The 23,042-nt window shown below is 50.8% G+C and overlaps 1 protein-coding gene across 17 annotated transcripts in view, besides 1 other annotated feature; it reads right to left on the bottom strand.

The window, feature by feature from the left end:
• The window catches only part of LRRC20 (leucine rich repeat containing 20), an 83,651-nt gene that overhangs the window by 6,428 nt on the left and 54,181 nt on the right, over window positions 1-23,042 (bottom strand). For 12 of the 17 annotated variants that reach the window (NR_103467.2, NM_001278214.2, NM_018239.4 and 9 more), the window contains one exon: window positions 18,461-18,628. The exons of the other annotated variants lie outside the window; for them this stretch is intronic. Coding sequence is in view for 11 of the 12 variants with exons in the window: in NM_001278214.2 (NP_001265143.1) it covers window positions 18,461-18,628 (168 nt within the window). In the remaining variant the exon portion in view is untranslated. The remainder of the gene's footprint in view (window positions 1-18,460; window positions 18,629-23,042) is intronic. 17 annotated transcript variants of the gene reach the window in all.
• Window positions 19,027-19,126: a silencer, noted in NCBI's record as "silent region_2444". NCBI's record gives its function as "represses an Ori minimal core promoter by ATAC-STARR-seq in GM12878 lymphoblastoid cells {active_cell/tissue: GM12878}" and the evidence as "EXISTENCE:reporter gene assay evidence [ECO:0000049][PMID:35858748]".

Consider the following 23,042-nt stretch of genomic DNA (forward strand, 5'->3'; position numbering starts at 1 on the left):
CCAGATAAAAATAGAAAACATTTCAAGAACCCCCAAAAGGGTTCCCTTGTGCCCCTTTCCAGTTTATACCCTCTGATCTTCTTCATCATTAATTTAGTCTATTCCTGAACTTCATATAAATGGAACCACATAGCATGGGCCACGTTTTTATTCAAATGTCTTTAGGACTTTCAGTTTCAGAAGTCTTAAATTTTTTTACTCAGAAAAGTTGAATATTATTGTCTTAAGTCTCTTCCCCCCTCCTTTTTTCCTTTGGAAATAATTTCAAATGTATAAAATGTTGCAAAACTAAAAATAAAAACTAGCAAAAATACCAGATGACCATTAGCTAGATTTGCCAATTTTTTTTTTTTTTTGAGATGGAGTCTCGCTCTGTCACCCAGGCTGGAGTGCAGTGGCGTGATCTCGGCTCACTGCAAGCTCCGCCTCCCGGGTTCACGCCATTCTCCTGCCTCAGCCTCCCAAGTAGCTGGGACTACAGGTGCCCGCCACCACGCCCGGCTAATTTTTTATATTTTTAGTAGAGACGGGATTTCACCGTGTTAGCCAGGATGGTCTCAATCTCCTGACCTTGTGATCTGCCCACCTCTGCCTCCCAAAGTGCTGGGATTCCAAGGCGTGAGCCACTGCGCCCGACCTAGATTCGCCAATTGTTATCATTTTATCCTATTTGCTCTATCATTTGTGCATGCATTTTCTGTCTCTCTCTCTCTCTCTCTCTCTCTCCCCCACCCCACACACACACACGCTTTTTTTCTGAATCATTTGAGTGTACCATACATACGTCATGGCCCTCAGTGTATATTTCCTAGGAATTGGGACATTCTCTTACATAACCACAGTGCAGTTAAGGGTTCCAGGTATTCACATTGATAGAATGTGTATCTAACCCATGGCCCACAGTTCAGTGTGGTCAGGTGCCCTAACATCCTGTACAGCACTTCCCCCTCTAGTACCAGAGCCAGTCTGGAATCAAGGATTGCATTTACTTCTAACTCTTTGGGCCCCTTTGTCTTTTATGACATTGATATTGGAGGAGTAGTGCACTGCCCCCTTCCCTTTTTAAAAGTTCCTCATTTTGTGTTTGTCTGGTGTTTCTTCACGATTCAACCGAGACTTCGCATCCTCAGCTGAAGACTGCACAGGTGCATGTCCTTCCTGGGGTATCACATCAGAGGCACACCAAATTCATTTCTATTGTTACTTTTGATCACTTGATCAATGTGTAACTTGCTTTCTCCACTATATAATTACTATTGTGTGTTTTTTTTCTCCCTTGCATCTAACAAGAAGTCTGTGGGGACACATCTTAAGAGCGTGCAAATATCCTAAATGTTGGTTCTCACCAACATTTAGCATTCATCACCCTTAGACTTAGCATCCACTAAAGATTCTTACCTGACCTGATCTTTATGATGGCTGCAAAATGATTTCCTAATGTCAACAGTCCTCAGTATTCTACTTCTCTTCCATGTATCTATTATCAATATAGACTCCTATGTTTCTAGTGATTTACAATTCATTATTGGACTTCATTATTCTGATGCTCAAATTGTCCAGATTTGACCACTGGGAGCCCCTTTGGCCTGGCTCCTGTATCTTTTGACATGGCTCCAGCACTTTTTGGATGCACTGCCTGAATTTCTAGGAAGACACGTCTTGAGCCTTCCCTGTTCCCAGCCCTGGAATCAGCCACTTCTCCAAGAAGTCCTGGTTCCTTTCAATGGGGAAGAGTATTAGTGCCCAATAGTAAGTGTGACTGACTAAGCCGTGTTTTACATTCCATCCACGAGGACTGTGTACATCGAATCCATCTGCTTTTGACTGCTGCTTAGTATACCATGCTGTGCACCCACCACACTGTACCTCTCTACTCTGCCAGCAATGACACCCAAGTGGCCTCTATCTGTCCTTAGGAGCCAATGTGGGAAAGTCTTTGGATATATGCCCAGGAGCAAGACTGATTGCTCTGTCAATGAATATGTGTATATACCTCCACTAACTGCTCTCTAGAATTCCTGTTGAATCTCCCAGGAGCTTCCTATCCTGCACCCCCAACAAAGGCTTTCAAAGAGGCTGCTGACCCGTCCTGAGAGAAAGAGCTTCCTGGAGATGTTCTCAAATTGCTTCTAGAATCTTCCAGGCCTCCTTGTTCTGCTGTGGGTCACAGCATAGAACAAATCTATCCCTTCTTGTCCATGACACTGCTGAAGCCTGGAGCTTAGAAAACACCACCACCTTATTTAGGCAAAGGCCCCCAGATCCTTCGCTTCACATGATAGTTGAGAGTGGGTGGGTAGTGGTTATTAAGATAAACAAGCTCTGGAGTCAGAAGGATACGCCCGGCTTTCCAGTGACTGTGGTGCCTCAGGCAGGATCCCTGCACCTGAGCTTTCTCATCTGTAAAATGGAGTCATACTGCTCACCTTGCAGGGAGGTCCCAGAAGTCGACAAGATGCCTGCATGCAGTACAACAGCACAGTGCTCCAGCAACATGTGTCCAGCTAGTGCAGGTTCCCTGCTCCCTGTCACTGGTCTGGGGCCTGCATCCGCTGAGCAGCAGCCCAGATGCCTGGGGATAAGCCCACAGAGTTTGGCCAGCAGAGTCTCAGCCTGAGTTCACCACCCAGATAACCCAGATGTCGGCTCACATAGAAAGGAACAAGGGTTGAGCCTCAGATGTCTCCTAAAAGCACTATGGCTCCCGGAGCCCCTCACCACCACTCATAGAAGGCCAAAGCCCCAGATTTGGCCTCCGCTGAGAGCACCAACAAGAAAGTTCCTGGACATACTGATATTCATAGGCCATTGACAAGAAGCTGTACAGATCATGGCAGAGAGACCACAGGAGGTAGGAGGGTCCTGAAAGTTGCGAAAACCCAGGCTCAGTGGGAGGAAGTAATTTTGCCTGGGGTCACCCAGCCAGTGGGTAGCAAGGCTGACACCGAGACGGAGAAGACTCTTGACCACAGAGAAGCGCTATGCAGGAGTCCCCGGGCCCCGTAAACTGGCAGCCAGGTTCCCTAACGGGAGGAGCTTGCCTACCCTTAGACTCTGGGGTGACCTGGCCTCTCAGTTCCCTGAAGGCAGGCTCTGCGTATGAGACCAGGGGCCCAGTCCACGGCCTTGAATGCTGGGGGACACAGGAATTGCTTACTCCAGGAGCTGTGTCCCCAATAAGAAGACTGGCTATAGGGCAGCCGGGGTTGGGGGGTGTGGCAGGGAGGGGCTGGTCATCACCTGCCTGGAGCAGGAACCATGTGACAGGCGAGCGAGCCAGCAAGGAGGGGTGGGAGAGGCCAGGAGTCCATGGCAAATGGAGGCTCAGACAGGAAAAGACGCAGAGACAGGCTGTTTTCAGAAGGCAGGGTTATAAGCAGACGTGACTCCTCGGAGAAGAGGAAAAGAAAGAACAAGTGCTAGGAGTGCCCACTCACCTCCTTCGCTTTCTCTGGAGCTCATGTGGGTACAAATGTCATACCACACAGCTGCCAGCAGCCTGGCCTCGCTCGTCCCAGCCTCTTGCTGGGTGTGGGGGCTAAAGAAAGGTGCTGCCTATGGTAGTTCTTGAGTCTCTTCTTTCAAGCAGGGCCCCCATTTTCCCTATTAATAATGGCTGGGAAGAAAAGGGCTAATTCCTTGGACTCTTGCACATCTTCATATTCAGGAGTTCTGTTGCAGCCATTCCCCAGCGGCACAGCCAGCAGCGTGGGCAGGGGTACAGATGCCATCCCCTCTGCCCCTGATCACCCAGAGTAAGAAAGACCCCTCGCACTTGGCTTTTATTTCATGGGGCATCAAACTCCATTGGACACAGGAGGAAATCAAGGCGCAAGGAGGTGTAGCACCTTTGTCTAAATGGGCCCAGCAAAGCAGGCTGCTTCTGGGAACTGATGTTTGAGGCCCTATGCTAGACAGTTCCTCACAATGACCCATTTCTCAGGTAAGAAAACTTGATTCTCAGTTTCTTGATGCCCAAGGTTGCCACGCCAGTAAGTGGTGGAGGCAGGACAGTTCCTGATCCCAGAGCCCATACACTTCAACACACAACGCAGAGGGGCAAGGCCAAGGCCAGAACCTGGTCTCCTTGCACTGGCCCCCGGCCCCCAGAAGATAACAATGACAGGCAAGTTTCACTGAGCGATTCAGTAAGGACTGAAGCCCGGGCTAAGAGATCACAACCTCAGTTGTCAAGATATTCCCACTTGAGAAATGGTGGCTCAGAGCTGCTGTCACCCCTTCTCCCCATCCGCTACTGAAGACCACTGATCCTTCCCCAGTTTCTCCAGAGGAGGCTGAACAGGAGCTTGCTAAGGACCCTCCCTACTCTGGACTCCCGTGTCTCCTCTGTCCCTCACCTGGGAAGGCCAGTGGCCCACACAGTGGCTAGTACTTCTGAGGATGGGGGGGTCCCCCTGTCATGCTGCTGCCACAGGCTTGCTGGGCATGGCAGGAAGACCCACTGCAGCCCAGCCCCGGAACACATCCCCACGACTCCAGGCCTAGTGGGAGCGGCACTGCCGGGGTCTCGGCTTGCTGTTTCCACGTCTGCCACAGAGCTGGCCTCTCCAGGGTCTGTGGCATTCTCTGAACCACCCTACTGAAGGCCAGTAATAGCTTTCACAGGCACAGAGCAGGGATTAGGTATAGCTCTTTCCCCTAATTTAACCGCAAAAGTCATTTGAGCAGCTTAGAGGAAGGAGCGATGGGACCATCAAACATGCCAAAGCTGGCAGAACCAACACATCAGAGCAGTCAAACTCGCAAGTGACAAGCCCAAGAAGGCAACTGGGAGTTTCTGGATAAAGCTGAAAGATCATTTATGCTCACAGCATCCTGACAAGAGAGGGAGATAGCTGGAGGCTGCAGAGGAGAATATGAAATGACCTGCATTTTGTGGATGGGGAAACTGAGGCTTGGAGAGGTTAAATAAATGTCCTGAGGCTAGACAGCCCAGTGGTCTCTGGACTTTGTTGTGGAGAGGAAAGGGACCTCCGCTTTGCCTTCAATACCATGGGCCATGCTCCCATCACCACTCACCACGTCCTGCTGCTCCTCAAATCCCAGCTCAAGGGCGGCTTCCTTTGCCACTCCCCTGCATCCCCCTCCAAACTCTCTGAACATTTTCTTTATACACACTCGTATCATGCACCATGCCCTGCAACCTGTGAATATGTCTGTTCACTCCTGTAAATGTGACACAAAGCACAGTGCTCACGGGTGCTCCATATCTGTTGGATGAATGAATGTCTAACCTTTTGAACTAGACCATGAGTCCCTTCAGGCTGAGACCACCCTGAGCTGGGCAAACAGCAGAATCGCCATCAATGCTGCTTAATCAACTCTGTGACTACAGCTACACTCAAGAGTTGGGGCCCATTCCCTGGCCTCACCCATTCTGTGCACATTTGCCAGTCAGGGCCAGGCCTCTGTGGACCAACGCTATGATAAGACACGTATCCTAGTCTTCCCCTTTGACACTAGTAATCTAATTTAGAAAATGCAAAGATATTGATGAACAAAAGTAAAATCATCACGTCCCATCACCTAGAATGAATCACTATTAATGTCTTGGTATATGGCCTTCCCCACTGTTTAATGTGTTTGTGTATGTGTGTATATACACTCACATACCTACGTATTTCCAAATGGCCTCCCAGATAGCATGCTATGACATGCTGTTCTTCATGATATGCTGTAAATATCTTTTCAGGTTACAAATTGGTGACTTTCTATGGCTGCATCATAATCCATGGGATGGATGTACCACTTTGACTCCTGTTCTTGTTGTTGGACATCCAGGTTGTTTTCAACATTCCATTTTTTTTTTTTTTTTTTTTTTTTGAGACAGAGTCTTGCTCTGTTGCCCAGGCTGGGGTGCAATGGCGCGATCTCAGCTCACTGCAACCTCCACCTCCTGGGTTCAAGTGATTCTCCTGCCTCAGCCTCCCTGGGATTACAGGTGCACACCACCACACCCAGCTAATTTTTGCATTTTTAGTAGAGATGGGATTTCACCATATTGGCCAGGCTGGTCTCGAACTCCTGACCTCAAGTGATCCACCTGCCTCGGCCTCCCAAAGTGCTGGGATTACAGGCATGAGCCACTGCACTCGGCCTCCAACATTCCACTATTCCAGATAATGAGAGGCTTTGAGTCTACAGGGCATTCTGGGGTTACTTCTATCTCTTTGAGCCTATGACTGTAGAATGTAGGATGTGAGGTTCTAGAATCCTTTTATGAAGCCAGAGGAATGTCCCTTTAACTTTCCCATGGCCCTCAAGTGTGTGGGCTTCTGTTGCAAGGCCTCATGTCTTAGGTGAGGACTAAAGTCAAGGACTCAGTGGCCTATGGCAAGGCAAAAACCTCAAGCAGAATTAAACTATGCACTGGCTGGCCCTCCTCCCACTGTAGACAGCCACCCTGGACTCCCACCTATGTCTGTGGGAAGTTTAGAGTAATCAATAATAGTAGAAGCAGAGTGGGCAGTGTTTACACAAAATTACTTCCCTGAGGTCAGCTTGCCCCCGTCTCACTAATTGTTAGCAATATTGACAGGTAAACTTGTTTTACATCAGTGGAACCGGCTGAGAAGCAGGATGATTACAAACGATGGCTCCAGAATGCTTTCCTGGTCCAGTGTGGTGCCCACAGTGGGACCCTGTGAGAAGGAGGGGTCAGGACCTGGGGAAGTGTCAAGGGAGGTGAGCACCTAGCATAGAGGTAACCAGAATTGCTAGCTGGCCTCTGATTCCAGCATTGCTAGAGAATCCAGGCCAGCCCTAGGCCCACATCTCAGCCTCAAGGCAGCTCTGGTGCCTGGACACAAAAACAACCAAGATCAAGGACGCCTTGCTGTGCTGCGCTAAGCTGCATACCCCCTCTCAAAATGCCACAAGAGACAAGCAAGCAGACTGTGGTAACCTGGCAGGGACAGGGGGTCATGCTGCAACAAGAAGGCTCCGGAGCCACACACACACATCTCTCAGACCACTCCACCACACCCTTCTGGGTGGAGTCAGGCGGGGACAGGGGCTGAGCCTTCCCTACTGCCACATGGTCCTGGACTGGGCATCCTGGCAGAGGTGGGGCAGAAGCAAATGGAAATAGAACAGCTCCAGCCCTCAGAGAGCCAGGAGCACACTGCACAGCCTTGACAATCCTGCAGGCTGAGTTCTAGCCTGCAGAAAAAGCTGGGTGGACTGGAGTTCTGAGTCTCCTGCTGACGATGGGCCATTTGGCAGGGTGAACAGGGCCAGGGACACAGACCCTAATTTTGGCACTGCCATTTAAAGCTGTGCACCCTCAGGCAAGCCCCTTCACATCTCTGAACCACAACCTTTCATCTTTAAGACCGTCCTTCCACCTCATGATCTGTGGGGTGGGACCATCGGTGCTCTCCAGGGAGGAGGGGGCTAGTGAGGTGCAGGAAGTATGGCGGGCACCCCCATCAATAGGATGGGAAGCACGGGATGTTTTAAGAATCTACCAATAAACCTAGAGACATTTTTCTGTCCTTAAGTATGAGCTGCAGGGAAAGAAAAGCAAAGGAGAAAAACCTTTGGCTTTCATTCCTCCTCTGTGCCCCAGGTTGGCCAGCAAGGGTGGGCTAATGGGCATTGAGGGGGCCACCCACCACAGCCTTTCCCTCCAAAGAGTCCCCTGCACGCATATCTGACATGCAATCAAAGCCAGATCATAACAATTCTTTGCAAAAATGACTCAGTCTTCTTACTGGCCACTCTGGAGACAGCCAAATAAGCAGCTGAAACGGCTGGGCCCATGCCTGACATTTATCCTCCCCGCCCTCTGCACCCTCCTCCTTCCTTCTGCACTCCGGCCACTGGAAGGCCTATGCCTTCCCACAGGCTGCTCTCAGGCCTCTCTTAGTTCCTCTGCTTTGGTTAAGGTGCTCTGGGAAGAGCCTCAGGAAAGAATGACAATTTTGCTGTCCCCTCTCATGTGCCTGTGTTCCCTGCCTCAGAATTGGTGGTGCACACCTGGGGCAGAAGGGTTCCTCAGAAGTTCTGGCCTAGCTCAGTGGTTCTATCTAGTTTGCACACTGGAATCATCTGGATAAAACTGCCTCTGCAAAAGTTATGACAGGCAGAGAAATCTGACATAGCTGACTCCATCTTGCTTCTAGCCTCACAAGCTGTCCTTGATGATTCTTGAGCATAAGCCAAGCTAACTATGGGAGGAATTTGTTTATACTTCAACCTTAAAACAAAGACAATACCAGCCCCTTCCCAAAACTAATTCCCTCCTTGCTCAGGGACCACCTTTGTAAAACTAACAAGTTAGCCACAAGGTTAGAATTATGCTTTGGAAGTCATGTAGCCAGGGATCACAAGATTCCTAACCTCCCCAACTGCTCCTACAGATAACATCACAACTGTAAAACGTATGATTGGTGTTTGAGGTATCTTTCAGGTATCTTTCAGACTCTGCATTCTGATAAACCAGCTGGCACCACCTGGACCGGTATATTAGTCCATTTTTAGGCTGCTGATAAAGACATACCAGAGGCTGGGTAACTTATAAAGAAAAAGAGGTTTAATGGACTCACAATCATGGCAGAAGGTGAAAGGCATGTCTTACATGGTAGCAGGCAAGACAGAATGAGAGCCAGGTGAAAGGGGAAACCCTTTATAAAACCATCAGATCTCGTGAGACTTATTCATTACCACGAGAAAGGTATGGGGGAAACCACCCCCATGATTCAATTATCTCCCACTGGGTCCCTCCCACAACACATGGGAATTATGGGAGCTACAATTCAAGATGAGATTTGGGTGGGGACACAGCCAAACCATATCAACCAGTAACCATACCAAGAAACTGGCTCAGCTGATCTTGTGACCCCCAACCCAGGAACTGACTCAGTGCAAGAAGACAGCTTCAACCCCCTATGACTTTATCCCCAACCCAACCAATCAGCATTCCCCATTCCCTAGCCTGACAAACTATCCTTGAAAAATTCTAACCTCTAAATTCTCAAGAAGGTTGACTTGAGAATTCTCTCCCATCCTCTGGCTTGGCTGGCCTTGTGATTATTAAACTCTTTCTTTGCTGCAAAACCTGCTGTTCTCAGTGAATTTGCTTTCCTGGGCAGCAGGCAAGAAGAAACCATTGGGCAACTACATTGAGAGCTTTAAAAAATCATGAAGCCCGAATCCCACCATCAGAGACTCTGATTTAATTGGCATAGGGTGTGGTCAGGACATGGAGTTTTAAAAGCCTGCCCAATGATTTGAATGCACAGATAGTTTGAGCATCGCTGGTCTTCTCGGTGAAGATTAATGAGAGAATCTGGTGAAAACTTTTGCACAGTACTTCCATTCTGGGTGCCACCCTCCCCTGACTTGCAGAGTTGACAGGAGCTAGCAGGAGCGGGGCTGACTGCCTACCTGGCCTAGGGAAACCTGCCTCATTACCTTATACTGTTCTTTCTACAAAGAGGTTTCCTTCCAACCAAAATTATGCACTTCAGCCATAATGTTCCTGTGGCTTTCTATCCCCCTAGAGCTATGGGCAAAAATCTCTCCCGTGCAAAGCACTGTCCTGAATAGCTAGGACTCTGCAGCAAGACTACTTGGGTTGGAATCCCGGCTCAGATGGAGTGACCTTGGCCAAGTTATTTAATCTCCCTGTGCCTCGGTTTCCTCACCTGAGGAGAATAACAGTATCTGCCTCATAAGGTTGTCATGAGGATTAAACAAGAGCATCCTTGAAAAGTGCTTAGAGAAGAGCTGGGTGTGCAGCAAATGGTCACTAGTGCACGGGACAATGCCAGGAGCTCCATGAGAGCAGGGAGTGTGTTTGTTCTATTTGTGTCTCCAGCTTGGTGCAGCTCAGCTCCAGCACAAAGTAAATCACTTAGTTAAAAACAGCAACTGGTGAATGAAGGAACATTTCCCAAATGCCCAAATTCAAAAGTGTCCCCAGAGGGTTGACAAGAATTGCATGCCACATTATGGACTGAAATAGAGTTATAATTAAGCATTAATTGGGCTGCACTTTGGCCCACTTCCTTGTTGCTGAAAGTCACACAGCACAAGATCCTGACCTTGTGTATCCCAGTTGTTCCTGTAGATAGGATTTCTGACTTTAGGGTCCAAAGACTGTTTACAAATTGATTCACAACCCCGTTATTCCTATAGACAGGATTGCTAACATTAGAATCATCAACTTTTGCTGTAGGATAGCTTAAGATGTTTTTCAGATCCCCAATTTCAGCAACCAGTTTGGAGACGCCCCCCCACAGAGGATCAGGGTCAGCATGAAAGCACAGCTGCTTCCTCTCCCTGTCCCATGACCTCACCCTGCTCTTTTCCACCCATCAGTGATCTCCACGCTTCAGCCCACTCCCAAACTGTTAAAAACTCTAATTCCAAATTCCTTGGGGTGATAGATTTGAGGTATCCTCTCATGTCTTCGTTCAGTGACCCTATGATTAAACCTCTTTCTCTGCTGCAACCCAGTGTCTCAGCGTACTGACTTGCCGAGTGCATCAGGCAACAAACCCATTATGGTTACATACCCATGTCCATATCCCCACAAGCCTTTTATTCCTTGGATAAGGCATCCTTGCAAAGCTGGGCTTGGAGATCAGGGCATCAGGCGGCTCTCCAGCACTCTGGACAGAGACAGGGACAGGTAGTAGTGGAGAGTGGCAGTAAATGGAGCCTGGAAGCCTTTTGTTGCGTTTTATTTTTTAATTTAATTTTATTTATTTTTTTCTTTTGAGACATAGTCTGGCTCTGTCACCCAGGCTGGAGTGCAGTGGTGCAATCTTGGCTAACTGCAACCTCCGCTTCCTGGGTTCAAGCAATTTTCCCGCCTCAGCCTCCCGAGTAGCTGGGACTACAGGTGCATGCCACCACACCTGGCTAATTTTTGTATTTTTAGTAGAGATGGGGTTTCACCACATCGGCCAGGCCAGACTCAAACTCCTGACCTCAAGTGATCCACCTACCTCAGCATACCAAAGTCCTGGGATTACAGGCGTGAGCCACCGCGCCCGGCCCTTTTCTTGTGTTTTAAACAAGGGTCAAAGAACTTCTTGCTGTTGGCCTGTGTGCTACCAGCAGAGCACCAACAGTATCCTGGACAGTTGGAGGTTTTGGTTCATCCAGGTTTCACCACACAGTGGTTGGCACAGAGAATGCCATTTGGGCAAAGACCAAGTGTGTGGCTTGCTACTTCCCTGCAGGTGGACACAAGTGGGGCAGGGGCTGCAAACAGGAGCTTCCTGCACCCTCGTGTCTGGGGGCCATGCCTAATTTGCATTAATTGCTGTTGACACCTGTTTGTTTAATCCCAACCTCTCCCTCGGTGCGGCTGCACAGCTGGCAAGCGCTCCTTGCACTGTTTGTCTAATGACCACCTCCTAAGTGCTTGCTAACACAATCGATGCCTGCACCTACTGCTCAATGCCTGGTGAGCACAACTCAGAGCTCTGCAGACACCAAGCAAGGGCATGCGGGGCAGAAGGCATGAAGCTGCTGGGCATGCAGGCAAGAAGCTACCACCTCGGAGGGCAAGTCATCCTGTCATGGGACTTGTGACACTCAGCGCATAGAGGTCAGGGCAAGGGTCAGACTCTGGAAAGCTGGCTGTGCTCAGGGGGCAATCCGAACTCCATGCCCAGGGAGGGAACAAATCAACATCCCTCCAGATGGGCTTGGAGCCCCAGATCCAGGGGCAGGAGAGAAGTGCCACAGGTTTGACATTGTCCTTCCAGATGTGCCAGCCCAGAGGGTCCCTGCCTCCCACTTGAATGTGGAAAGTGGTCAGGATTGAGCAGAGTTTGATTCAGAGGCTCTCTACCCTGCAGGGGAGCTGCCACAGGTCATCAGGAGAGAAGCAGAAGGAGGTGTAAGAGGGAGCCCTGGCTTCTGCTTCTGCTTCTGTTTTCACCATGGGAGTCTCCCTTTCTTTTTTCCCTCTCTCTTTTTTTTTTTAAATTGTTGTTGCTGTTGTTGAGACAAGGTCTCCCTCTGTCACCCAGACTGGAGTACAGTGGTGCAATCATAGTTCATTGCAGCCTTGAACTCCTGGGCTCAAGTACTCCTCTTGCTTCAGTCTCCTGAGTAGCTGGGACTACAGGTATGCACCACCATGCCTGGCTAATGTTTTTTTAAAAATTTTTTGTAGAGATGGGGGCCTCACTATGTTGCTCAGGCTGGTTTTGAACTCCCAGCCTCAAGCGATCCTCCTGCCTTGGCCTCATAAAGTGCTGGGATTACAGGCGTGAGCCCCCAGGTCCAGTCAGGCGTCTCCCTCTCTGTGTCATCCAGGCTGAAGACAGGCAGTCAGTCCCAGGGGACACTGAGAAGCCTTTTGTGACCATGGTTCAATCTGCCTCGTGAGCCCAGAGGAAGTTCTGAGGGCAGCTGGCACTGGCAGGTCAAGGCACCCTCCCTGGCAAGCTGGGAGGTCTGAAGCCTCCCACTATGCCACTGTCTGGCCTGGCAGGAGGCAGAGCTTTGGGTCCAGAAACATTTGTTTCGGCCAAGATTCCCTACTTCCTGCTGACCCCATTCTACTGAGGGTTGGTGGGTCTAACGGATGGGCAGCAGGCCAGATGTTGGCACAGTCCTTATTAAATGAGGACTTATTATACAAACAAATCACTGGGGGTTCTTGCTCAGGTGCAGATTCTGACTCAGGAGGTATGAAGTGAAACCTAAGGTTCTGCATTTCTAACAGCCTTCCGGAATGCCCATGCTGCCAGCCTATTGAAGCCACTTTGAGAATTGAGAGCCCAGGCAGAGCTTCTCAGGCTTCAGCATGAATGTGAATCAGAAAGCCGGGGGTCAGGGGCAGGTATTACGACAGACTGCTTCCCCCTCCCAAGAGTTTCTGATGTAGGTCTAGGGCAAGGCCAGGGAATGTGCATTTCTAACCCGTTCTCTAGCGATGCTGCTGCTGCTGGTCCTGGGACCACACTTTGAGAAATATCGGCTGGGATAGTAAGGTGAAACAGGACAAGGGCAGAATTAAGTAAATGCAGCCCAAAGCATCCTATATGACACAGATACTTTTCCTCTTAAAAGTGCCGCTAGCCAGGTACAGTGGCTCACGCCTGTAATCCCAGCAATTTGGGAGGCCGAGGCGGGCAGATCGCTTGAGCTTAGGAATTTGAGACCAGTCTGGGCAACATGGCAAAAACCCATCTCTACCAAAAATACAAAAATTAGCCGGGCATGGTGGTGTGCACCTGTGGTTCCAGGTACTTGAGAGGCTGAGGTGGGAGGATCACTTGAGCCTGGGAAGTTGAGGTTGCAGTGAGCCAAGATCATGCCACTGCACTCCAGCCTGTGTGAGAGATCGAGACCCCATCTCAAAGAAAAAAAAAAAAGTGTTGTTACTGTATTTAATCAATTATTTTTTGTTTGTTTTTGTTTTTTGTTTTTTGAGACAGGGTCTCACTCTGTGGCCCAGGCTGGAGTACAGTGGTGCAATCACAGCTCACTGCAACCTCAACCTCCCAGGCTCAATTGATCTACCACCTCAGCCTCCCGAGTAGCTGGAACTACAGGTTCACACTACCACACCCGGCTAATTTTTGTACTTTTTGTAGAGATGGGGTTTTGCCATGTTGTCCAGGCTGGCCTCAAACTCCTGGGCTCAAGCAATTCTCCCACCTCGGCCTGCCAAAGTGCTGGAATTACAGGCGTGAGCCACCATGCCCAACTTAAATTCTTAATGAAGACTTGTTTTCCTCTAATCTCTTGTGCTCTCTGGAGCAGTGGGTGTATAGGGAAAAAAAAAAAAAAAAAGAAAGAAACAGAGAACTGAAGGTTACAGAAAGTTAAATTCCAGCTTAACTGAAATAATAGTCTCCTACGGGGCAAAATGAAGTCTCTCTAATATGTGACGTTTGTCTTCACCCTCACATGTTCCAGGATTGAATTGCTAAGCAGCACCAAGTACCGGTGAGCACGTGGTGAGGCCCTACTGCCGCTGCATCCACCTTCAAGTCATGTGTGTTGGCTGCTGGGGTGAACAAGCTGACTGCTCCAACCCATCATGTCCCTATGTCATCACTCAGTCAGACTACATGCCTCCACCTCCTTAGAAACCCTCCCACAAGGACACGAGGACAGCCACCCTCCCACTGAGAGTCCTCTCTCTAGCTCTCCATGGCACATCTGCCCTCCCCTACACCTGTGACCAGGTGCTATCTAGCCATCTAGTGTTTGCTGACACTAATACCTGTAAGCAACTTGAGGTTGAGACTCGCATCTCATTCATCTCTGTAGCCCCTCCTTCTTCAGAAATGACATTTCCCAGGTGGGCTTATTTATAAATACTTTAAAACTTCCATACACCACTTTCTGATTTGAAAAATACAGGAACTATCTCATATCCCAGAAACTTATAAATGGCTCTTATCTGAACAAATATTATAAGCTACAAACCCTTTTCTCCCTCTTAGGAGTGCCTAGAGTAAACAACTGTGTCCTGGCAGGCCAGTCCCCAAGACCCCGGAAGCCTCTCATCTGGGTGGGAGACACCTGCTGCTGTGTGTCTGCCAGGGAGTCAGCTGGGAAAGGGAGAAGCCCCTTGACCCACTCTGCTTCCCTTTCACCTGAACCGGGCCCAGACCTTCAGACTCAGGGGATTTGGCCACAGGCAGAGAAAATGGTAAGACATGAGAAAGGACTTCCAGACTGAGAGCACGGGCCATGCGGGGCAGGTGAAGGGGAGGGATGAGAGGAGGAAGGCTGTATAATGTGGTTGGGGCATGAGCTAGGGAGGACGGGTGACTGAGTTGGCTGAGAACAGACCCCCAAATCTCTGCAGGACAACTCATAAGAGTGGCTTTCAATATTTTTTCGTCATGACTAAGAGTAAGAAATACCATTTTTCATCATGTCCCAGGAGATAGATAGATAGATAGATAGATAGATAGATAGATAGATAGATAGATAGATCTGTGCATGCACATAGTAAAACTGAAATTAAAAGTTACAACATAGTAATTACCATTTTATATGTGATGATGTACTCTGACATTTTCTATTTTACTGCATTAAAAAATTGCTGGTCTCAACCCACTGACTTGACTTAACAATTCACTAGCAGGTTCATAGTACGCAACTTGAAAAACTCTGCCCTATCATGTCTCACTTATTTCAGAGGAGCTTCGAGGCTTTGGAATTCCTGCTCTACATAATGCTCCCACCCAGCTGAGTACCTGCTGTATGCCACACACCACGCCCGATGCTGGTGGAGGTGGAGGGCAGAGAAGGGTCACACACATAGACTGGAGGGCCGTGTGCTCAAGGTGGCAACAAAAGCCATCCACGTGCCACACAGACCTGAAACGTGAGGGCATTTAGCTACCAGTGAGCACCAAGGTCAGGTACCACCTCCCAGTGGTTGGCATCAGAAAGCAGACAGAAGTATCCTTGTCCCTCTCAGCCTCTATGCCCTGTTGAGATCCCAGACCTCCCTCCTTCTCTTCCTGAGAATGGCTCAGAGGGTGGAGGAAGATCACGTGGCAGCTCTATTCGGAAACAAGAGGATGACTGAGTTGATCCTGGCAGCTGCCTGGATGCTGAGAGCCTCCCCGTCTTTCCAGCGCCAGGTTGGGGCCGCTTTGGGGAGGTCCCTTTAGGGTGGCTGTCCTTCTGATTCACTTGGGTCTTGTTTCAGAGCTGCCTGTTCTCCACTTACTAAAGCTTTAAAGGCCACTCATGCATCTCAAATTTATTTCCCATAAAAATCTTGTTTTATTTTTTCCACCACCCTCTAAGCATTCTGGAAGGAAAAAATAAGCCACTCTGAAGGCATCCTAAGTTTCTACAATTATCCCAGTGAGGTGCTGCAGGAGCTCAGCTACAAGTAGCGAAGAGTGCAGAACTATTTCCATAATGGAAGACTGTGCAGCCCTACCTTCGTCGCTGTCACTGCAGCCCCTCCTTCCTCCAGCAGGCCCTTTCATTCTCACCTCCCTCCAGCCTGGGGATGAAGGCTGTGACCTGGCTCTCCTGCTGGTTTGGGAGTTGAGAAGCCACTCAAGTAACTCGGATGGATCAGGGAGAGATAGAAAATAGAAGCAGAGAGACTCCAGCAAGGAAACAGTGGCTGCCTCCATATGCCCCCTCTCTCTAGCTCGGGGGCAGGGGAAGAACAACCAAGGCCTCCTGCAGTGGACAAGGCCCTGGGATCAGTCAAGCTCTTTCAGGAGCAGCTGGCCACTTGGGGTAAACCAGGAGCCCCTCCTGGACAGCAACAGCCCCTGGCATTTCCATATCACCAAGGCCTGGCCGAGGCCAGGCAGCAGGGGCTCTGTCCCAGGCTGAACTGATTGGGAAACACAGCCCAGTCACTGATGTCTCTCTTACCTGGCCAGATGTGTGATAGGCACTTGGCCATGAAGGCTTAGAGCTTCAGTTTCTACCTGTGTCAAGGGGAGACCATCACCCTGTGGATGTGGGACTGCACATGACCATTCTTGGTAAGAAGTAAGATGCTTCCACATGTTGAAATTATTACTGTCATTCTGCAGAAAAGCGAGATATGTCTATGCAAGAGGAGCCAAAACAGCCGATCTTTGCTCTGTGGCTGTGCCTGCTAAGAGATATTGTCAGCCTTTCAGAAGGGGAAGGACCAGGAGATCTGGGCCACCCTTGCTGCCCACTTCGGTGCAAGTCACTTCTTGGACTGCAGCCAACATAGACACCCAGTCGACCCGCTCCCTTATCTGGCAAAAGCCACCTTCTTATCTTGAACCACCTTCTGGGGGTGGGGGATAAGCTTCATCTGAAAGATGAGAGGGCGCTGAGATTCACAGAGCTGCTGTGAGCCTTCCAAGGCCACAGTTAGGATATGGGGAAGCCAAAGCTGGCGCTGGTGAGACCCACCTGTCTACCCGCTGCACACCCAGCTCTGTTCTTGCTCAGTTACTGCCCCATTTGGATGAGCAGCAGAAGGAAGTGGAGGCATCTTGAGGGGCCACAATGAACAGAGACGGGAGACGAAGGACCCAGGCAAGAAGGGCCTGGCCAGGAATGCAGGGGGCAAAGGGCTCAAAAGCAAGCCCCTGGGATTAGCAGGACAGCACGGGAGGGAGAGCCGCGCAGGCCAAGGCACTTCTGGGCAGGCTCCTTCTGCTCTGGGCAGGCTCCTTCTGCTTAGAGAATACTCAGAGGCCCCAGTGACCCAGGAGCCAATCCAGGTGCAAGCTGTTTGAGGACTCTGGTCTTGGGAGCATAAGACTGAACCACAGCCCACCCCCAGGGGCTTCCCAGAGGCCAGGCAAGAGACGTCTATCCTGGGCACAGGGCTGTTGTGGAATCACATATTCCTATCCTGGCACCGCGGCAGTCTCACTGTGCAACCCGATGCACTCTCATGATGTGTTTGGGCCTCGTTTGATTCATCTGTCCAAGGAAAGACTCAGAACCTCAAAGGTCAGCTGGTCCCACCTCCCACCCAGCCAGGGTCAGAGTCCTGCCTGTGGCACCGCTGACAGATGGGCACTCGCACCACAGGAGGCAGGCCATTCCCCATCAGATGGGCCCAAACTGCTAGGACTCATCTGATGGGGAATGGCCTGCCTCATGTTGCTTTTAATCAAATGGCATAATGGCTATAAAAGGGCTTAAGAAAATGAAAGCATGACTGAAGGGGGTTATTATGAACATCATTGGCATTAGAACAGCATTTCCACATCAGAGGCCATGTGAGAGAGGATGAACTGGGGCTGAGCCACTGAAGGAGGGTGCTGCGGAGGGGAGGGCACACAGAGACCCCACCCAGTGCCCAGGTTGTCTGGGCAGGTTAGACCACTAGCTGGAGTTGAGGCTCGGCTCTCTGAGGTCCTGATGAGACAGGAGACACATAATCGCTGCAAGAGGAAGGAGAGACCGCTTCCTGACCTCAGCAGAACCCAACCTCCTGGGGTTTGCTGTTTGCAGAAGGCACCTATCAGACCCCTGGTTCCCTGGTGGTGAGGGCCCTGGCAGGCTGGGCTGACAGGGAGCAGCGTGTTTGTTCTGGAAGGCATAGAGAGGCTGTGCTGAACATGGCTGTCTAGTGGGCCCTGCTCACTCCTGTGAAGAGGTCTCTGTGAAGCCAGGGGACTCAGGGAGGAAAAAGTACACAGAGGGCCAGAGCCGAAGGGTCTGAGACCGCCTAGGCTGGTAGGTGAGAACTGGAGAGGGAGAGCTTGTGGCCTACAGTGGCCTGGCTAGTTCAGAGCTGCACTGTGGTGAAAGCCAAGGCCGTCTACCTGCCAGGGAAAGCAAGTGTCCCACCCAGCACCCGGTAGGCAACAGGGCCTCAAAATGTCTACCTTCCCAGGCCCCATGTCCTTTGCTCAGGCATCTCAGACAGAAAGCCCAAGCTTCTCCTCCCACCTGTGAAGGTCGACTCCAGAGTCCTGTGGCCCATGAGCGCCTCGTGCAGCAGCCCAGGGCCAGGTGGGCCAGGCCCACTCACCTACGATCTCGTTCTCCTCCAGGTTGATGGTCTCCAGCGCCGGCAGGGCGGTAAGCTGCTCAGGGAAGTCCTGGAACTGGTTCCGGGACAGGTCAATGGCCTTGAGGTGCTGCAGGGCACTGACCTCGCTGGGGAGGCGGTGTAGGAAGTTCCCCTCCAGGTGGAGCTCTGCCACGTGCAGGGAAGGAGAGAGAACAGGATGAGGAGGGGGCCACCCCGAGACCACAGTGACTGCCCGCTGTGGCTCTCACCCTGCCTGGGCCAGGAAGGCACAGAGGAAGCCCTAGGCCACAGAGGGAGCCCCGCACAGGGCTGATTCCATGTTTATTTGTGCTAGAGGAGGGGTCACCCTCCTACCGCTGCCCGGGGCCTGCCACCTGTCACTCCAGCTGAGGCTGCCTGCTGCTGACTTTGGAATGGAAGGCTCTCCCAGCAGAAGCCTGGGCCTCAGCGAGGGGTCAGGAGGTGCTGGCTCCTCCCTCAGACAAAGCCTCAACTCCGGGCCCTGACGGGGCAGGTCAGGATGGGCGGCCTCTCCCCCTCGGGGCTCCCCACACTCCATTTAGGGGACACCACTCTCCATGGCCCTCCCTGCTCAAGGAGCCACCAGGGGCAGCCACATTCTTTCAGTGTCATGTGCCCCTTCTCCCCTGGCCAACCACAGCTGACCCAATGTGGGTGGGTTCCTGCTCCGAGAGCAGCTGCTCTGAAAGCTGGCCAGCGACCTGTGCAGGGACCTGTGTGGGAAGGCAGCTGGGCCGGGGGAGTCCCTCTGCTGGGAACCCGGCTGAGGCAGTACCAAGAGATGGGGCCAGATATAGTGTGGGCTGAAGCTGAATCTAGTGAGAGAAGCCGGGCGCCCACAGGGCCCTGTGCAGGGAGGAGAGCTGGGGGGCAGGAAGCAAGGGCAGCAGGTGGTGGAGGAGCACAGCCCAGGGCTGATGGGAGGAGGAACTGGAGTCCCCATGCTTGGGTACACACCAGCCGTGCCCCTACTTTCACTGTTCTTCCTTAGGACGTTATTTAATCCCCGCAGAAAGGACATCGTCTCACCTGTAGCAAGGAGCTAACATCATAATGCCTGTCTCTAGGGCTGTGAGAGGATTAAGTCTGTGAACACAGGTGAAGCAGCATGACAGGGAGAGGTAGAGGTGAGGCCCCAGGGGCTGTCCAGTCCCCATCCAGGTGTGGCCTTACAGTGAGTCTCTCCCCACCCTGTCTGACCCGAGGGAAACTGAGGCCCAGAAATGCTGAGTAACCTGAAGAATGTCCCCCAGTTCTTCTCCCAGGGCTGGCTTTGTGGGCATGGGGCCAGTGTATTCACATGAGGTCTCATGATCAGAAGGGCCCCGCACTTGGGGTGGAATGCCTTGTATGGCCATCTTGAAAGTCTTAATAATTTTATCCTTGAATCTGAGTTTTGTCAGTGGAGCTGGGTCATGGAGTCTGAGCTCACACATGATCCGATCTCCTACTGCCTTCCCAGGATAGCGGCCTGCTCTCCCGCCTGGCCTCCCCCTCCCATCCCTGTTCTGCAATGATACTGCACCCTCCACCTCGGCAGGGAGGGTCAGAATCAGGCTTGTGTTCCATGTGTCTCAGGGTGGAGCACGCAGGCAACAGCTCTCCCTCACCCTCACCCAGGGCCACTGGGGCTTAGCAGGAGTGAGCCTCTTACCCACCCCTGAGCTAGGCACTGAGCAGGTCCTGACGAACAGGTTTAAAGAGCCTTGGAGTTGCCTGCCTGCCAAGGCTGAGGGTGGTGGACTCTTAGGCAGGGAAGACCTGGCTCAGCTTCCTCAGATCACCCCAGGCCAGGGTGGAAGGCAGTCAGTCCAGCATCTGGTAAGGGCAGAAACCTAGCAGCTGTCAGGCCTGAGGGTGGTTGCGTGGGTGCCCTGCACTGTGGACGGGGCCCCCGGGCCCTCTGAGTCTGTCCTTCCTCCCTTCTGCCTTCCAACCTTTCTGAGTCTGGTTTGAGTTTGTCCTTCTGGCCTACTCCAGGCACCTCCCGAGAAAATAAGCCACAAAATATGAATTTCATGATTCTACACATGATTTTAATGCTCTCATAATTGCACTTAAAACTGGCATTCCACAACATAAAGATAAATGGTAAAATTCATGCTCAATTTTGATCTTTCCTTACTTAGAACAACATGAAATAGTAAATGAAAGGCACCATGACATGCTGAGAGAGGCTGTAAAAGAAAGGGAAAATCTTCCTATGTAACTTTTAGAAAAATGACCCCTAATTTCTGGAGTCATTTCTCTCTGTGCCCCACCAATTTTGCAGCTGGCCCTGCCCCTCCCTCAGTGCTCCATGCCTGCTCTTCCACAGCCCCACAATGCAGCTGCTCTGAGGTCCCCACAGCCCCTCCCAGGTATCCCTACAGTGAAAACTGACCCCTGCCCCCTTCCCAGCGCCTCTGTGTACACACACACACACACACACACACACACACACACACGCACGCGCCTGGGTACCAGCCCCACTGCAAATGCCCTGCTCCAGCACACTGGGGTTCTTGGGAGGAACTACATCTGATTCATCTTTGTCCCTACATCCAGCCTCTTGCAGGCACCTTGTGTCACTCAGAAAATATGTGATAAATAATGACTCTTCTCCCCTCAGGAGGCAGACAGTGCAGGGGGCCTGGACTGCCTTCCATTTTTCCATCTTCAGGGACGTCGGAACCCAAGGTTCCATCAACAGGTCCAGTGCTCGCTTCACGCAAACCCAGGCTTCCCCTGGCAGCCAGGTTCTTGAATAGCCACACCTTAAACCACAGAACGCTGCTATCCAGATCACCATTATAAGCCTCTGTCACCCAGGCTGGAGTGCAGTGGTGTGATCTCGGCTCACTGCAAGCTCCGCCTCCTGGGTTCACGCCATTCTCCTGTCTCAGCCTCCCAAGTAGCTGGGACTACAGGCACCCGCCACCACGCCTGGCTAATTTTTTTGTTGTTGTATTTTTAGTAGAGACGGGGTTTCACCATGTTAGCCAGGATGGTCTCGATCTCCTGACCTCATGATCCGCCCGCCTCAGCCTCCCAAAGTGCTGGGATTACAGGCGTGAGCCACCGCGCCCGGCAGACATGTTCAGAATTTTTTTAAATGGGCTTTTATCAAACCAACTCAGGCATGAGTCTAATTGTATTCCCACAGTGGCTGAGAAAAATAAGAAGCATCTACCCCTGGAGACATTTCCAAGAGCCTGTTGGGAGCTTGCCCCTGTCTGCAGTCTTGGGGGTCATGGCCGATGCGGCCGTGGAAGCTAATGTGGGGGCTGTGATGGTTAATTTTATTTATCAACTTGAGTAGGCTAAGGGATGCCCAGACAGCTGGTCAAACATGATTTCTGGATGTTCTGTGAGGTTTTCTGGAGGATATCAGCAGTTAAATCAGTGGACTGAGTAAAAAGATCTCAGCCAGGCTCAGTGGCTCACGCCTGTAATCCCAGCAGTTTGGGAGGCTGAGGCAGACGGATCACTTGAGATCAAGAGTTCGAGACCAGCCTGGCCAACATGGTGAAACCCCATCTCTATTAAAAATACAAAAATGAGTCAGGCAGGGTGGCACGTGCCTGTAATCCCAGCTTCTTGAGAGGCTGAGGCACAAGAATCCGAGGCACGAGAATCCCAGGAGGCAGAGGTTGCAGTAGCTGAGATCGCACCACTGCACTCCAGCCTGGGCTACAAAGTGAGACTCTATCTAAAAAAAAAAAAAAAGTAATAATGATAACTAACGCTTATTACTATGCTAATAGAGCACTACTACATTCGAGGCACTTGTTCTGGGGATTTACATGTAATCATCATTGTGATTTTTCTCTAACCCATTACCATCAATTTACAAAGAGGTGAAATAACTTGCCCAAGGTCACAGAAACCCCAACCTCTCCCCAAGGTATGTGACGTTCCTCTCCCAACCCCCAAACCAGGATGTGAACCCCAGCCAGCCGTGTCCAGAGCCTGACTCCTCATCTCGTCCATCACTGTCCTGTCTCATGGGCTCTGCATTTGTCCCCTCCCTAAGAGAAGCAGGCCACGCTGGCACCTCACTTCATCCAGTTTTACACGCCTAATCCCTTCAATACCTGTTCTCAGAATACATAACCATTAAATCCTTGCTTGTTCAGTGGCCAAAGAATGACAAGAGGAGAACCAGGAAGGACCTGGTTATGTTCCAACTCATCAGGTGTCCTTGGGCCCATCCTCTCTCCAGGTGGCCTCATGAGAAGGTCTTTCCTGCCTATTTATCGCAGGCTGTGATGATGAGCTAAGAGGGCTGTGAAAGGCAGGATGAGCTACACAAGTCACATATTTACTAAGCACCTACTATATGCTCAGCCTAATCACATATTTACTAAGCACCTACTATATGCTCAGCCTTGTAACTGAATGTAAAAAGGGTAATCTTTGTTTTTTGTTTTTTGGCGTTTTTTTTTTGAGATGGAGTTTTGCTCTTTCGCCCAGGCTGGAGTGCAGTGGTGTGATCTTGGCTCACTGCAACCTCCGCTCCCTGGGTTCAAGCAATTCTCCTGCCTCAGCCTCCCAAGAAGCTGGGATTATAGGCACC

Source organism: Homo sapiens, chromosome 10, assembly GCF_000001405.40.
Source record: "Homo sapiens chromosome 10, GRCh38.p14 Primary Assembly".
Taxonomy (NCBI): domain Eukaryota; kingdom Metazoa; phylum Chordata; class Mammalia; order Primates; family Hominidae; genus Homo; species Homo sapiens.